The 16,794-nt window shown below is 35.1% G+C and overlaps 1 protein-coding gene across 3 annotated transcripts in view; it reads left to right on the forward strand.

The window, feature by feature from the left end:
- The window catches only part of PLXDC2 (plexin domain containing 2), a 473,425-nt gene that overhangs the window by 349,512 nt on the left and 107,119 nt on the right, over positions 1–16,794 (forward strand). For all 3 annotated transcript variants that reach the window (NM_032812.9, NM_001282736.2, XM_011519750.3), the window contains 2 exons: positions 11,056–11,151; positions 11,385–11,466. In NM_032812.9, coding sequence (NP_116201.7) covers positions 11,056–11,151; positions 11,385–11,466 — 178 coding nt within the window. The remainder of the gene's footprint in view (positions 1–11,055; positions 11,152–11,384; positions 11,467–16,794) is intronic.

Genomic DNA, 16,794 nt, shown 5'->3' on the forward strand with positions numbered 1-16,794 from the left:
GTTGGGGTGGGGGGTGTTTGTGTCCTATGTGTTCTTATTTAAAGAAAGGGGAGATAATAAAATATATCTCAAGATGAGATCATTTTTTCTCTTTTGTTCAAAGTTCTTTTTCTTCTTTTATTTGGTTACAGTGGTAGATAATTTATCACATGCTCATGTTCTTTGGTTGTGACTTGAGGTGATTATACTTAATTATGTCAACTCTCAACTGTAGACAGCAACTGGAGTGGAAGCTTTACTTTTTAAAGCAACGGATTAGCAGAAATATTATAAGGGTTATCTTACAACCGTAAGATATCTTAGAACTGAATGGTTATGTTACAACTGAATGGCATTGATACGTGGTGGTTCTGCTTGATGAAGAACATGGGGTTTCTCCTTGTTAGCTGAGAATTTGTGGGAGGCAATATTCAAGGGAATTGTTAAATCAAAGCAGGTTTTCCAGAAACTAAATTGTACTGTGAACAAAGCAAGGATACATGAGTATGTGTAGGCAACATAAAGGCATCCTGACAGAGCTCTTAAATAAGAGGCTGAGCCCTAGGACAGCTGAAGTTGGCTTGTGTTTGAGGATGGCCGTTCTCACATTCTTTCTTTCAGAGTTGTTAAATCAAGCATGGTTTGAGTCAATTATTGCACAAGTAAAAAGAAACACTAGCTTTAATTTATTAGTTGCTTTTTTTAATTGCTGAAAAAAATTATTTGCGGCTTACTCAGCAGGGCTTTTAGTCCATATTGTTGTTCTGATATATTATTGCTTAAAGAAAAAAACACCAACCAAAATACAAAAATTTTTTTTACAAATGTAGTTTAATATGCAAGTATTATGTTGGTATATTCCCAATGATAAAATTGTACTTAGATATCAGGGCCCTAAAGTGTAATTTTGCATCCTTTGTTATGCTGTAAAAGGATAACTGTTACGTGTTGGGGGAAAAATATTTTCAAATACAAATCTCATTTAATAAATTGGCAACATTTATATGAATTTTCAGACCAGATTATGTCTAAAGTTTGGGACTCAGCAGTTATCTAAAAGAACTTAATTCAAACGTAGAATTCAGAGAAAAATGTCCCTCACACAATTTGCATACTGGAAAAGCAGTCACATTTTCTGTTAACCTTACTGTTCCATCCTGAGAAAATTAGCCAAGAAGGAATGAAAGATTTGGGTCTCGAGTTCTGCCATTGTTGCTGTTAGATGCGACTATATTTATGCAAGAAAATTAGAATCAATATGTTCTACTTAAAAATCATTTTGGGAACACAAAATTTTATCTCCTTAAAAGTCTCTCCCACATTTATAAAGTATAACTGTGTCTGTTGCATGAGCTTCTGTATAACAAGAGATACACGGTTGCATTGTATTCTCAGCTAACAGAAAGTGCATCTTTATGCCAGAGATTAGGATAACCCAAGATTAGCACAATGCAAGTTATACAAGTACAGTTCTTTTGTGAGAAATAAGTTGATTCCTACAGACCTATGTTACATATTCAACAATCAGAATTTAGACCGATATTAAGTCCTTTTCAAAATTCAGTTCCCTTATTTAGCAACACTCACTATTAGGAATTGTCTTTGTAGGGAATTTAAATACTTTGCCTCTGTTAACTTTTTTACCCCCACCAAGTGGATTTAGGGAACAACTGATTATTATTCTAAGTAGTGAGTAGTTTCATTTCTTCTGTATTCCAAGGTGTGTTACATAGAACCCTGTTCTCATAAGATCAGTTTTCTATTCTATTAATCATTTTAGTTACATAGGTTATATTACCTAAACCTTTGGCTTCATGTAGCCATGGGAACATGGGAATGTGAGCTCAAGCCTGGAAAATAGTATTTCCCAGTAGATCACCATTACTATATCATTCTTATCAGATTTGGTGAAGATTTGGTAAAGCATTCAAAATGCTGTAAAGCAATTTTAATTTATTTATTATTAAAATTTCTCCCTATTCATTCTTCCTCACATCAACAACAAAACACTTGTTTTTCAGTTTTTGAAGACCCCCAAATAGTAAATGATTTCAATGTAAATTTCAAGCATGATTAATTAAAGTAGCTTTATTTTCTTTCATAAAAGATCAGGTGATCTGATAGTTTCAATATCAAAGGGAATTCAGGCATTGTTAGTAAATTGATAAATCCTTCTGAGTTTACAAGAGAAATACCTTTGCTCCCTCAAAAAGAGAGGGAAAAGTATGGTAAAACTAAGACTTATGTTAAAAAAGGTGGAAATTAAAAGTAAAGCAAGTATAAGGAATATTGTCATTTGATTATTGGTCATGAAACATTAAACTTTTAATTGATTTCTGTAACTTTCTTTCTATATAAAATGAGCATCTTAGTACCTAAAAATGCAATGTGTACACAGCATGCATTACCTAGCAGAGAGTAAGTAGTACACTTGTACTTAAAGTTACTGTTTTTTCCATCATCGTTATCACTTTAAAAAACAGCGATACTAACTTAGATGTCACTGCCAAAGCTGAGTGCCCTTCAGAGTGGAACCACAGGAGATTCCCACTAAGAAACACAGTGACAGTGTGTCTCTGGAACTTCAGTGCTTTCTGACTATGTTGATGTGTGTTGTTTTATGTCTCTTCATAAGACTTATGTCTGCCTGTCTGTCCATCTGTATGTCTCGAAATCACTGTTTTTCATAAAATGTATTTGTAAATCTTTAGAAACAGAAAGAACCATAGAAATCAGCTAATTCAACATCCACAGGTACAGCTATGAAAAACAGGTCTAAGTACAGGACTGACTTTGGTTGTTCATTTCAGAAATATGAATGTAAAAATATACTTATTATGATTAGAAGCATAGCACATTATAATTCTGAGTAATTTATAAATTAACAGGAAACCCAAGGAGGAAAATTTAAATTACTTAGAAATCTACTACAGAGAAATAGTAATAAATGTTTTCACGTATCTGTATCCAACTATTTATTTGTAATATACACATATATGAAGATACCCACATTAAGAAAATTGGCATTATGCTGTAAATTATTCTGCCCCCTGTTTTCACCTTCATATATAAAACATATTTTTTACACTGTTAAATATCTGTCTAAAATGTGGTCATTAATAGTTATAAGAAATTTATCTGTTTCATAATTTATGTAACCTGTCACTAAAGAGGTTGGTTACATAGTTTGCATCGCATATTATCAGTAAAATGGTGCTAAACGTCCTTGTTTCTAAATTTTTGCATGTATCTGATTCTCAAAAAGTGAATTTGTGGATACTGAATGTTAATATTGTTTTGAATGTATTTTGACAAATTGCTTTCCATCAAGGTTGTACCAGTTTACTACCCATTGTTATATTAGAAATATCCCATTTCCCAAAGAGCTTTCTAATATTCATTTTTAACTCTGCAAATTTGGTAAGCACGAAATGGTATTTCATTGTTGTCTTTCGATTACCAGAAAGTTTTAACACCGTCATATATTCATGTGTTGTTTGTAATTTCCATAATTTCTTGGTAAATAGCTCTATTAAGTAATTCTTTCTCAGCCTCAGCTTATGTCCTTCCAAATCCTTACACAACATGCAGAGGTCTTCCTGGATACACGCACGATTCTCACTAGTGCCATTTGCACTAATTTGTTTCTCTCTCCTCCAATGTAACATTTTGAATTTCAATCATCATCTGTGGGGTGCTGACTTATCCCATCGGGCCTCACTGTTTCTCTACTTTCCGAGCTTAATGAGCTTAATCCTTCTAGCAAGAAACTCAGAAAATCCACTCATGCCATGTGGTTCTTTAATTTGGAACAGATAAGGCCATGCCACTTAAGTAAAGAGAAAGTTACGTTAACACTCCCATGCAGGGCCTTGCACTAGAAACCAGTCTGGAAAGCAGCTGACCTCACTTAAAATGGTTCTACTCCAAGTTATGACAGTGACTATATCTGAGTCCCTTAGAATATTCCTTTATTTTTCTCACTCACAGTACATTATTTGGTACTTTCTTAACATCAGGCCTCTTCGTATCAGTATCTACTGTTTTAAATTTATTGACATTGTTTGTGTTACAATGCACCTTTGCTTGGCTGGTTATTATTCATAGCTCCATAAGAAACATTAAGCATTTTCACAAATAAAACTGACAACTAGCAGAGCAAATATATTTTAAAAATACTACAAAGAGGGTCTTTGAACTCTTTGAGGAACAATTATAGGTATATATTTTGCTGTATGTGGTCTCTTTATAAGATTACAGACTAGGCACCACTTTTTTTCTTTTTTTAGTTGGAGTCTAACTCTGTCACCCAGGCTGGAGTACAGTGGGACGATCTTGGCTCACTGCAACCTCCCCCTCCGGGGTTCAAGTGCTTCTCCTGCCTCGGTCTCCCAAGTAGCTGGGATTACAGGTGCATCCACCACGCCCAGCTAATTTTTGTATTTTTAGTAGAGACGGGGTTTCACTATGTTGGCCAGGATGATCTCGAACTCCTGACCTCAAGTGATCCTCCTGCTTCAGCCTCCCATAGTGTTAGGATTACTGGTGTGAGCCACCATGCCCGGCACAGGCAGTAATTTTTTAAAATTACTTTTAGACAGTGAATAAAATAACCTTAACAAACAAAAACACAGCTTTGCCCATGAAATATGCACACTATCTTAAGCTTAAATTTAAAATAATAGTAATAGCATAGACCAGTATGCTATTCAGAGCTTCCTGTGCTGGTGGGAATGTTGTGAATCTGAATCGTATAGTGTGATTTCAGTAGCCACATGTGGCTACTATGAACTTGCAATATGACTAGTGAGCCTGAGCAATTGAATTTTTAATTGAATTTAATTCATTAACTTCATCTTAAATAGCCAGATGTGCCTAGTGGCTATCATGTTGGATAGGGTAACAATAGACCATATCCATTAATTAATTTATTTAATTAATATTTAATTAAATAAAATATTAAATGCCAAGTGTAATATTTACGTAAACATTATTCTTATTTCTTCTTTGCTTTTTAAAAGGCACCAGAATATTAGATGTGATTAAATAATAAATTTTCAAATATAAGTGTATTTATTAAATAACAAATTTTCAAACATAACCATTATAACTAATTTTTCCCATAGAAAACAATTTGCAATTTTGATTTAGTGGTAGGACACATTCACTATAATTATGTAGCAGCTATAATGAAAATATGTGGTCAAAACTTACGAAAAATACAAATAATCTTGGAAAAACTTGAACTTTTTTTTATTCTATAATATTTTCTAGAACCCAGTGCAAGCCCTTTCAGAGGAACTAGGCCTCGTTTGTTATTTTCAAAGTTGTAGTCTTCTCATTCACTTAAAAACAGATCAATCGACAGATCTCCAGTAAATTATGTCATCTTACTTTTGCTCACCTCAAAATGGAAAACCCTTCAAAAGTATTCATTTTTCAGAAGATAAAATTGCTTCTCTTAACAGCACAATTTCATTAGGTGCTTACATTCTCAAGTATACACTAGCTCACCAAAGGCTCAACAAAAGCAGAAATAAATAGAAATCATGATGTTTTCTCATAAAGTAACTACTCATAAAACACTTCCAAGAAAGAGAGCATTGTACAAAATGATATTTTATTAGTTTAATGCATCCATTTCTAATGTAAGCTAGTTGACTGACTCTGACTTGATTTTTAAAGACAAGTAAAAAAATCTAAAATTTTCTGGGCATAGAAATCACTGATTAATCAATTTTTACATATTTGAGAATTTTTCTAAAATTTTTATGAACAGGGAAGGCTTTCTTCATGGACTTGTGGTTAAATTCTTTCTTTTATTTCATTTTTTTGATTTATTAACATTTAATCCTATACAATACTTTTAGAGAAAGTAAATTTTTAACAATTTAGAACTGTGTCTAGCTGGGAGCAGTGGCTCGTGCCTGTAATCTCAGCATTTTGGGAGGCCAAGGTGGGAGGATCACTTGAGCCCGCCAGTTCCAGACCAGCCTGGAAGAAAGACACTGGAGACTGGGAAGGGTGGGAGCAGGGAGAGGGTTTGGGGATGAGAAATTACTTATTGGGTACAATGTACACTATTTGGGTGACAGAAACGCCAAAAGCACAGACTTCACTACTACACAATATATCCATGTAACAAAATTGCACTGCTACCCCTTACATTTATACGAATTTAAAAGAAAGAAAAGGAAAAACATTTGCTTCAGTGGCTGCCTCTGAGGCCTTCATTTTGGGATATTGTTTTCTGAGACCCAACACACCCAATTCAATTTAATGAAGTCACAGTCTCCTTTGTGAAAAGGAAAAAAAAAAAAAAAAAAAGAGAGAGAGAGATGTAATGACTTGGCAAATATATATCATGCCTTCTTCCCATAAGTCTCAGGAGCAGGGAGGCATGTTCCCCTGCAAAAACACCAGGTTCAGGACAAGCAGCCCTCAGCAATGGAACCGTGATATTGTCACAGGCCCGCAGCCCACCTGCCTCACCGGCCCACTGTGACACTGCGTGGACAATTTACTGTCCCTCTGCTGGTTACGATTCTCTCTTTATTCCTTAATTGTTTTTTCTTTTATTGATGCATAATACTTTACATATGGGGACATGTGAGTATTTTTACCTGCATAGACTGTGTAATGATCGGGTCAGGGTATTTGGGGTGTCCATCACCTTGAGTGTTTATCAGTTAATGTCTTGGGAACATTTCAAGTCCAGGGCAAAGTAATTATCAAAGGAAGGCAGGAAATGCAGCTGGTTTAAGCCATTAGGAAAGTATACGTGAGAGAAAAATAAATTTGAAGGTTGTTTTAGGTCCTATTTTTTATTTCCTTCATGCTTACTCAAGTAACTTAGGAACTCTGGCCATTTAAGTTTTACCAGTGTCCTGAAACTTTGCAAGCAATGAGGGAATGTTGACAGGAAAATCTAAAAGGCTTAAATTAGCATTTCACGCTCAACTAAGGTTTATGTTTTATTGAATGCCTAATGACATTATTATTTCAGAGAATTAGAACTACAGAGAGAGATTTTAAAAATGATTCTGGCAAATGCATTTTTTATTTGTAGCTACTTTATTTAACAACTCCAACTAGCTAATTCTGCTAATGCATTGCACTTTTCTGTGGGAAGCTTGTAGCCACTATAATAGTGTCATTTGTATCTCAAGAGTCTCTCTTCTCCTGAGTCTTCATGCTGGAAATGAATCTTGTGGTTATACGATACAGGCTATTTCCATTAAAGAGTACTCAGTAAACGGTGCTTGTGCTGGACTCGATTTGAACCAGAAAAGAAATAAGATACAACCATATGGAGCCAGTCATTAAGCATTGGCAACACATAAATAGGGAAATGTTAGTGAATCATTCATTTGACAATTCAGACAAAATATAATACTTACACAATATGAGTAAGCCAAGTTAGGAGATTTCTCATATAGTCTCTGTGTGAATGTTATGCTTTCAAGACAGAAAAATAAACTAGATCATGGCTAATCATGCCTCAAGGTACTCATTAGTCTGTGTTCAGTTCAGCTAGAGTGGATATTGATCAAAGAAGATTCTTGGTGTTTCCATATGATCACATTGTCCCTCCTGCTGATGCTGATCAGGCTTTCTAAAACATGCAGTATTTGCACTTTGCAACACATCGCCTTAAGCTTTCGATCACATTTTCTCTCTGTGTGTTAATCCGCTCAGATTTAATTTTTCTTAATTTTTAAAAGGCACTAATGGGTGAGTATTGATCTATTGGAGTTGAATCACCATCGCTAAGACTGAACGTTTAATTCAACTTTATTTTGGCTTATTCTTGAAGAAGACCCATGAGCGAAATATATTTTTGGAATCACATGAAAGCTTCTAGTATTGGCAGGGGTAACCACAATTCTAATTACTTGTTTCTGACAGAGGTATCTCTGAAATACTACATAAATGACCATTTGGAAGTTGTCGTTAATTGGCAGGTCATCAAACAACAATAATTCTCATTAATTTGGGTTTTGTTAAATTCAACTCCTCTCAATAGTTAGAGGTTTCTGAGCAGGTAATAGAACTAGCATAGCAAAAAATGGTCACACTTTCTCTTTACTCCATACGCACGATCAATAACTCTCAGAAGCTTCTCAATCATTGTTAGTAGTTGAGAATTTCAAAGTGTAACATGAAATAAAAGGAATAGTAGTATTTTAAGCACCAAGTAATATGACAGGTACTGTGCAAAGACTCAAGAACCCCCCCTCCTAGTGATCTTATGGAAAGGCCACATTATTTATTTATTGATAAGAACTTAATTGTTTAGCAAAATACATGGGAAAGCAATACGTAGGAATGAATACTATTTAGACACAGACAGAAGATGAGCCATCTTTTTATTTGTCTTAAAAACTAAAAAAAAAATGATGTGATTTATATACTTCATGAAACCTTACTATGTACCATGAAACCAGCATTTCCTCTGATTTTTATGAAGTTTACTTTTTGAAAAATGTATATGCATCTTTCAGTTATACCAAAATTTCACTGGATTAGAGTTCTTAAACAGTGTTTTCCAATGTGATACGCCTGAGATATTTTCAGCCTGTGACCCAGAGCCACTCCTAGCCCCAAAAGGGTTTGCTTCGACCCTTTCTCCACCCCTTCTGCAGTATAATGTCATGATGAGTAATTAGAAGTGGAAAAAAAGACACAGGAAGGGGAACATCACACAATGGGGCCTGTTGTGGGGTGGGGGAAGCGAGGAGGGAAAGCATTAGGAGATATACCTAATGTAAATGACGAGTTAATGGGTGCAGCACACCAACATGGCACATGTATACATATGTAACAAACCTGCACATTGTGCACATGTACCCTAGAACTTAAAGTATAATTAAAAAAAAAGATATGAGTAGAGGGAAGGAGAGATACTTATAGGTTGTTAGTAAACATTTGACAGCCTCTGCAAGTTCTCGGATGAGTAGGTATCTTCCTTTTCTGAACACTTCTACTAAAAGGTAACTCACTATCATCTGGGCCACCACACTCCCTGCTCTATATTTTAGAGGAGGTCATCGTTGGGTGTAATGATTTCAATATAAATTTAACTTTCTCTAAGTGAGGAATGGAGAAAAATTACTAGAAGTTTGATTCCAGGATTGTAGTGTGATTTCAGTGAGTTTGGATCTATAGAGATTATATTATTAAATGCAGCAAAAAACTTGTATGATCTAAGGTTGTCATATTAAAGTTAGGCAAAAAGTGTATCTAATATGTATTGAGCATTTACAATGTGAAAGGGACTGTCTAGCAATATTCCTATATTATCTCATTTTAATCCTCAAAGCAATGCAGTAATATAGGTGCTATTATCCCTGTTTTATAGATAAGGAAACTGAGGCACAGAAAAGCTAGCAAAGGAGCCTGAGGCAACACAGATTCCTCACAGCAAAACTGTGGTTTGAGCCCAGACAGAATGTTCCAGAGCACATTATTAACCACTATGACGCTCAGTGGCTCACACCTGTAATCTCAACACTTTGGGAGACCAAAGTAGGAGGATTGCTTGAGCCCAGGGGCTCAAGATCAGCCTGGGCAACATAGCAAGACCCTGTTTCTACCAAAAAAGTTTTAACAAATTAACTAGGCATGGGGGTGCATTGGAGTAGGCCTGTAATCCCATCACTTTGGGAGGCCAAAGCAGGGGGATCACTTGAGTCCAGGAGTTGAAGACCAGCATGGGCAACATAACCAGACCCCATTTTTACAAAAAATAAGGACAAAATTAAGTGGGTATGGTGGCAAATGCCTGTAGTCCTAGCTACTTGGGAGACTAAGGTGGGAGGATCGCTTGAGCCCAGGATGTCCAGGCTGCATTGAGCCATGATTGCACCACTGACTGGGCAACAGTGGGAGACCCTGTCTCAAAAATAAAAATAAAAACAGTTTATAGCCCCACTAATTACTGATAGATGTGGTGTTATTCCGGAAATGCATTCTTATCAGTACAGGCATTTCAAGAGAGGAATAAAATGCTGACAACATTATTTTTCCACTTACATTGACCAAACCCAGGCGAGCACATTAGTATAAGGCTTAAAAGGGGATTTTAAGTATATTTAAATGTTTTGTTGTGGTTTGATGTTAAAATATGTTTGCTTATATTTTAAATGATTAGAGTTCTTGTCAAAGTCTCCATCTATCTTCTTCCTCAGGGACATTGATGGATTTGCTAATGATTTTTAAACTACATCGTGCAATATAAATGCTAATTAACCTTCCTTAGATATGATACTGTATATTTAATACATAGCAATCCTTATTTTTAAAGTGATTTAACTTCCTTTTTTCCCTCCAGCTTTATGGAGATATGATTGACAAATAAAAATCATATGTATTTGAGATATACAGGGTGATGATTTGATATATTTATACATGCTGAAATGTTCCCCACAATCAAGCTAATTAACACATTCATCATCTCGCACAGTTATGTGTGTGTGTGTGTGTGTGTGTGTCTGTCGTGAGAACACTTAAAAATCTATTCTTTTATTGAATTTCAAGCACAATGCAATATTATTAACTATGATCACCAGGAAATGGAAGAATGATTTAACTTCTGTTTTACTTTTATTGAAGAAGTTTATTCTAAACTTTTAAAGCAATCACATTGTTATTCTCCATTAACTTTATTTAGAGTGTGAAACATTTCTAATTACCCATTTCTAAACACTTTAGCTTTAGTATGGAAGAAATGGTATCATCTTACCTTCTTGATTTCATGAGTCAAAATCTTTGAAAATATGTAAATTTATCCAAAAAAATCTTTAGTATAGTCTGAGTGAGAATGAGTCGAAGCCTTAATAGGTAAGTGAGATATCTGAGACCCTAATCAACACTTTCAACTTCGCTGATAAAAAGACTTCTGGTTACTTGACATGTGATTTTTACATATTTTGTAATCAGTCTTCTCACAGGATGAGGCTTAATTTTAAAACCACATTGGGCTATATGTATATAATTCTATATCCATTATTAAAATGCTGTTGTTTTGTAAGCGAGGAAAGGTTAAAAATTGATTTTTTTTCCTTTTTTTTCTAGATGTTCGAAGAAGAACAATTTATGAATACCACCGAGTAGAGCTACAAATGTCAAAAATTACCAACATTTCGGCTGTGGAGATGACCCCATTACCCAGTAAGCGAATATGTAAACCTAGGTGGAAAACATGATTTCTAAATTTGATGATCTGATCTGTTCAATAGTTATAATAATCATATTAAATAATTACCATTATAATTGTGTTTGGCATGCATGGGCATTTTGCTCCTGAGGATTAGGGGGCAGTGATTTTTATTCTGGTTGAGTAATCTCTTTCCCCTCCAAGTTGCCTGTTAGTCTTGGTGAATCTGTTCTTTCCTCTTCCCTAGCATGCCTCCAGTTTAACAGATGTGGCCCCTGTGTATCTTCTCAGATTGGCTTCAACTGCAGTTGGTGTAGTAAACTTCAAAGGTAAAAATATAATAATAAGAATAATAATAAAATTTAAAAAGATATTTTAAAAGATTAGAAATTAAAAATAACTTATGGACAGGTGCAGTGGCTCACACTTGTAATCCCAGCACTTTGAGAGAAAGTAGGAGGGATGCTTGAACCCAGGAGTTCAAGATCAGCCTGGGCAACATAGCAAGAACCTGTTTCTACCAAAAAAGTTTTAACAAATTAACTGGGCATGGCAGGTGCGTGCCTGTAGTCTCAGCACTTTGGGAGGCCAAAGCAGGAGGATCACTTGAGCCTAGGAGTTGAAGACCAGCCTGGGCAACATAGCCAGACCCCATTTTTACAAAAAATAAGAAAAAAAAAGTCCCACTGAATTTGAAGTGGATGTCAAAAGTGTAGCATATGTATGCATTAGCAATATTGTATGTATAAAATATATAGATATCATGATCAAAATGCAAAACAAAACTCGTAAGTGGGTATTTTACTATTTTCCTTTGTTTGAGAGCTCAAAATTACTAACAGCATTTATAGTCAGTAAGGCCATTATCTGACATATATTTATAATTCTCTGTGGGACTTAAAATACAGGATGATTATAGAGCAGTTGATGAGCCTATAAACCAAAGATTTTGGTTCATATTCTACAGAAAGCATGTTATGAGATATATTTTCATAGCAAGGGTGGTTTATAATAATCACATGAACATTCTTAGTAAATTTCTATGCAATATCTCAAAGGTTATTAGTCAAGATTGGAGATATAATCTAATACAAAAATAGAACATGTGGTTTTGATGTCATGTTGTAATTAGCTAACCCTGAAACTTAAGCTGCATAATTTACTGGTGTCAAAGAGGTTTACTGATTTTGACAAGTGGCAAAGATGGTTTTTCAGTTGCTAGAGCTTTTCAGAGACTGAATAATCATTTGTTGGAAATACAGGATGAAGACTTGTAAATTTGTTTTGTTATTTACTCAACCATTTTGTGCCTCAGTTATGTTCCGGGTACTGGGAACACAGCAGTAAACAATATTGACATGGTCCCTGCCCCCCATGAAGTTTACAGTCTGCCTGAGAATAAGTCCCTTTCTCACCTTCGGAGTCTATGAAAAATGTTTCTTTCCCCAGGAGGGAAACCGAATATTCATGCTGTTAATCCGTGTATGTTACACCCGAGCTTTCGGTTGTATGAGCAGTCTGTCTTATCATCTTCTTGCTATAGCATTTGCTGTAACGATAAAGACATGCTCCAGGAATACTTTAAAACTTATTGAAGAATGCAAAAATAAAATGCCGATATTTTGATCACAAGCTTTGGGAAACATTTTTAACTCACTAACCTTAGAGCAACTACTGCAGTATTATGGCTAGAACAATATTATTTATGATAACGTCTGTTTTGTTTTCGATTTAACAGGGCGTTCTAGTTATTTCCTTTGTGAAATTAATTCCAAATAATAAAAAAGCAAGCAGGTAGTTTGCAGTTTTAAAAGGAGATTTTTAAGTTAGTTATATATCCAAAGTAGGAGGAACTGCTATAAAAGCAAAGGTTTCTGGTTATTTATATTGATATTTTACTAAGTTTTCCATAAAGATTATATGCATATCAGAAGTTATTCAAAATCTGTTTAGATAACGACATAAGGGAATCTAAAGAGACGGCATTTTAATATGTATATTTAAGGAACTCTCAGCTCAGAAATGGAAAATGTCCAAAGGAATTAAATAGGAGGCACTGGTTTGAGCTGCATACCTACTTCAGATCCATTTCAGTGATCACCTCGTCCAAGTCTGCATGAGGTGCCTATCAGCTATGTTTCTTTGCATCCTGGGCAAGCCGCCATCATTAGCATTTTGTGTAGGGCTTGCTGACGCTTGTTCATTTGTCGTCTTCTTTGCTAGGCTCTAAGTTTATTAAAGGCAGAGACCATATCCAATTTGCCCTTATATCTCCAGAGCCTAAGAACATACCTGGGACTGCAGAAAAAAATGGATGAACAAAGGAATAATGATTAGCTTCCAAACGAAGGAATCATGCTAAAATTTGTCTAGCACAAAGGGTTTCCCAAGATGAGGGACTTTCAATGCTAAAACCAGGAAAGTCCAGAAAAAAAACAAGGACCATTTGACCCCCCTAACCAGAAGACAATTAGAAGAATTTTTGACTTAAATCATTTTATGGTAAATGAAGGTTTTGAAGGTTCATCTAGAAACCTGCTTACCACTGACCATTTCATTTTTTAATATAATTTTTGATGAAATATATGTTTAAACTTCCAAACAAGCAATTTTGACATTCGAAACATATCTGCAAGTTGGAATCTGCTTCTACTGTTAATACTTTCAGTTTATTGAGAGATGTCTCTGCCAGACATTAAGCCAAGGAATTTTCAAATATCAAACTTAACATTTTCACAGTGAAGGAAACTGAAATTTTTAGGAGCTGAGCTACGTGTGCAGGGTCTCATAGCTCATAAGTGATAAGTTTGGAATCAAACCTCCGTCTTTGTGACACCCAGCTTTTGGTCTTGTGTTTTCAATACCTGCTCTGTGTCACACCTGCCAGGTTGCAGGTGCATTAAGCAAGATAATTTTCATTGCTTTCTGAAAAATTGTAGACATATTACTGAAAAATAAATCTTTCCTAGTTGATACCACAAGAAAGTATCATCGTTTTGAAACTGGCGTAAGAAGAATGTAGAGGAAAATCGAGCAAAGTCTAAGACTTTTGCATATTATTGAAAGCATAGTTTCTTTAAGATTACTGGGGAAAAGAGAGTTGGTGAGGCATATGAATGAGAAAGAAATTCATCAAAGAACGCTACTAAAAAAAACTACAAGTTTTCTGAATGTTACCTTTTGGTGTTTTATTGAATACCGAACACTTACTTAAAATCTTGGATTTATTTTTAATTCTTCAGCAACCCAGTTATATACATATCAAAACCTGTTTAATTAATCGGTTTAACTATGCCTCATTGCACTTTTGTTCAACTTAATTTCCCCACTGCATTTTATTAATTTCTCCTTAGACCTGTAATCTTCGAAACTTTGCTTTGCTGCCCAGAAGCATTTCCCCAGACTTTAGAGCTTTTATGAACAAATTCAACAAAACAGGAGAAGTCTTATCCTAAGCAGCACAAAAATTGCCCCTCTGATTTTTTTCTCCCATAGCTCTTACTTTCTTCTTTGTGCTTACTTATCCCTGAATGATAATCGGTTGGTGGTAATTACTGAACTCTCAAGTAGGGCTTGCTCTAAAAAGATAAGATAATTTTAATTGGTTTGTTTATTTCATTTAATTTCCATTTTTCAAGGAGCAAAAACTAAGGCAAAATGTTTGCAATGGCTTTCCCAAGCTCTGAGAGAATTTGAGTTAGAGGAACATAAGGAGATCCATGATCTCAAGTGCTTACTAAAATTACTTGGTCCATTTCTTTGAACTAAGAGTGCTTATGTTTCCTCATTGCAGACTGAGAATACCTAATCAATCACTTTCAACTGTACCTTATAGCTTCACTCATTCCACAAAAATCTGTGAGTGTCTCTGTTCAAGTCACTTACCAAGATTGTGCATTCAGTAGTGAAAAAAGACAGACAAAATCACTTCCCAAGGAGAGCTTTCATTTTGGTATACGGAGACAGAGTTTAAGCAAATAGATATATAGAAAGCAGAGTTAATAGTGATGAGTGTTATGGTAAGAGAAATAAACAGGAAAATGTAAGGGGATAATATAGCAAAATTGGTAACAATAGCAGGAGTTTACTTTTTGATATCGTCTTTAAGTAACCTTGCTCTTTTGAAGAGAGCATGGTTTGATTAGTTTTTAAATGAAAATATGTTCTTTGCACTTAAAGTATTCATTCACTCATGTATTTACTTAACAATGTATAGAATGCATAACACATGTCAGGCATTGATCTAAACACTGAGGTAGTTAGAGCTATAATCAAGTTTTAATCAAAACCATAACTCTCATGGAGTTTGGAGTTTAGCTTAGTAAGCCAGAAAATTAATGAATTAATAATTAGGCAAACAAAGTCAGATAGTGATGGATTGTCTGCTGGATTTGAAAGAGCCAGTAGTTGTTCTTGACTCGGCGGCCAGGAAAGGCTTTTTGGAGGGGGTAATAAATAAACAAAGATCTGAATGATGGGTAGGCAGCTACAGCGAAGTGAAAGCAAAGAGCCTTGCAATGCCATTTGAATGGCCCACGCACTGGCCCTATGGTGGGTCCAAGCTTGACCTGATGAGGAAAGGAAATAAGCCTAGTGCATTGGGAGAATTCCCAGCTGGTTTGGAGTGAGAGTGACATCAGATAAGCTCAGAAAGCTACCCAAGTGCTGGGACACAGATGACTCTGTAAGCTAGGGAGAGTTTTATCCTCAGAATAATGGAAAGCATTTAGACTTTATAACTTATGCGAAGAAGGGATGTGATTTTACCATATTAAAAAAATGGAACTTTGGCTGCTTCATGGAGAACAGAGTTTTTGTTGGTTTGTTTATTTGTTTGTTTGGGGAGTGGTTTAGAATGAAAAGGAAGAGGCTGGTAGTGAGCTTGTGCAATAGTGCACAGGAGGTATGATAGTAACTTGGACGAGGATGATGATTCTGAGGATCAGGAGAGATGAATGAATGCAAGGTGTTTGGGAAGGAAACCGGTTATTTGTGTGTGTGTGTGTGTGTGTGTGTGTGTGAATGAAGTTTATTGAAGTATAATTTACATATAATAAAATACACACATTTTAAATGTATGAGGCAGCTTTAAAAAGCGTAAATTCCCATGTAACCATCACCACATCAAAATACAGATTTCCTTCATGTTCCTTTACAGCGAATTCCTCCTCACCTGGTACCACCACCTTATGTAGCAACCATTGATCTTCTTCCTATCATCATACATTTATTCTGCCCAATCTACACCTATATATAAAGGGAATCACACAGTATTTACAATTCTGAATTTAGCTTTCTTTCACTCAACGTAACATTTTTTCAATTAATCCATACTATACTAGTTCAAATATCAGAAATTTGGTCCTTTTAATAGCTGAGTGAGTGAATACACAACAATTTATTTACTATTTGCCTGTAGATGAAGACTTGGGTTGTTTTTAGAGGCTTTTATGAGTGATGAATAAACCCACTATGAATATTCATGTACAACTATTTTTACAGACAGATGTTTTCATTTCTCTGGGTTGGGTGGTAAATAAGTAACTTTAAAAGGGACTATCAAATTGGTTTTCTATAGTGGTTGGCTATTTTACATTTCTTTTTTTTTTTAATTTTACTTTAAGTTCTGGGATACATGTGCTGAACATGCAAGTTTG

Source organism: Homo sapiens, chromosome 10 (genome assembly GCF_000001405.40).
Source record: "Homo sapiens chromosome 10, GRCh38.p14 Primary Assembly".
NCBI classification, from domain to species: Eukaryota; Metazoa; Chordata; class Mammalia; order Primates; family Hominidae; genus Homo; species Homo sapiens.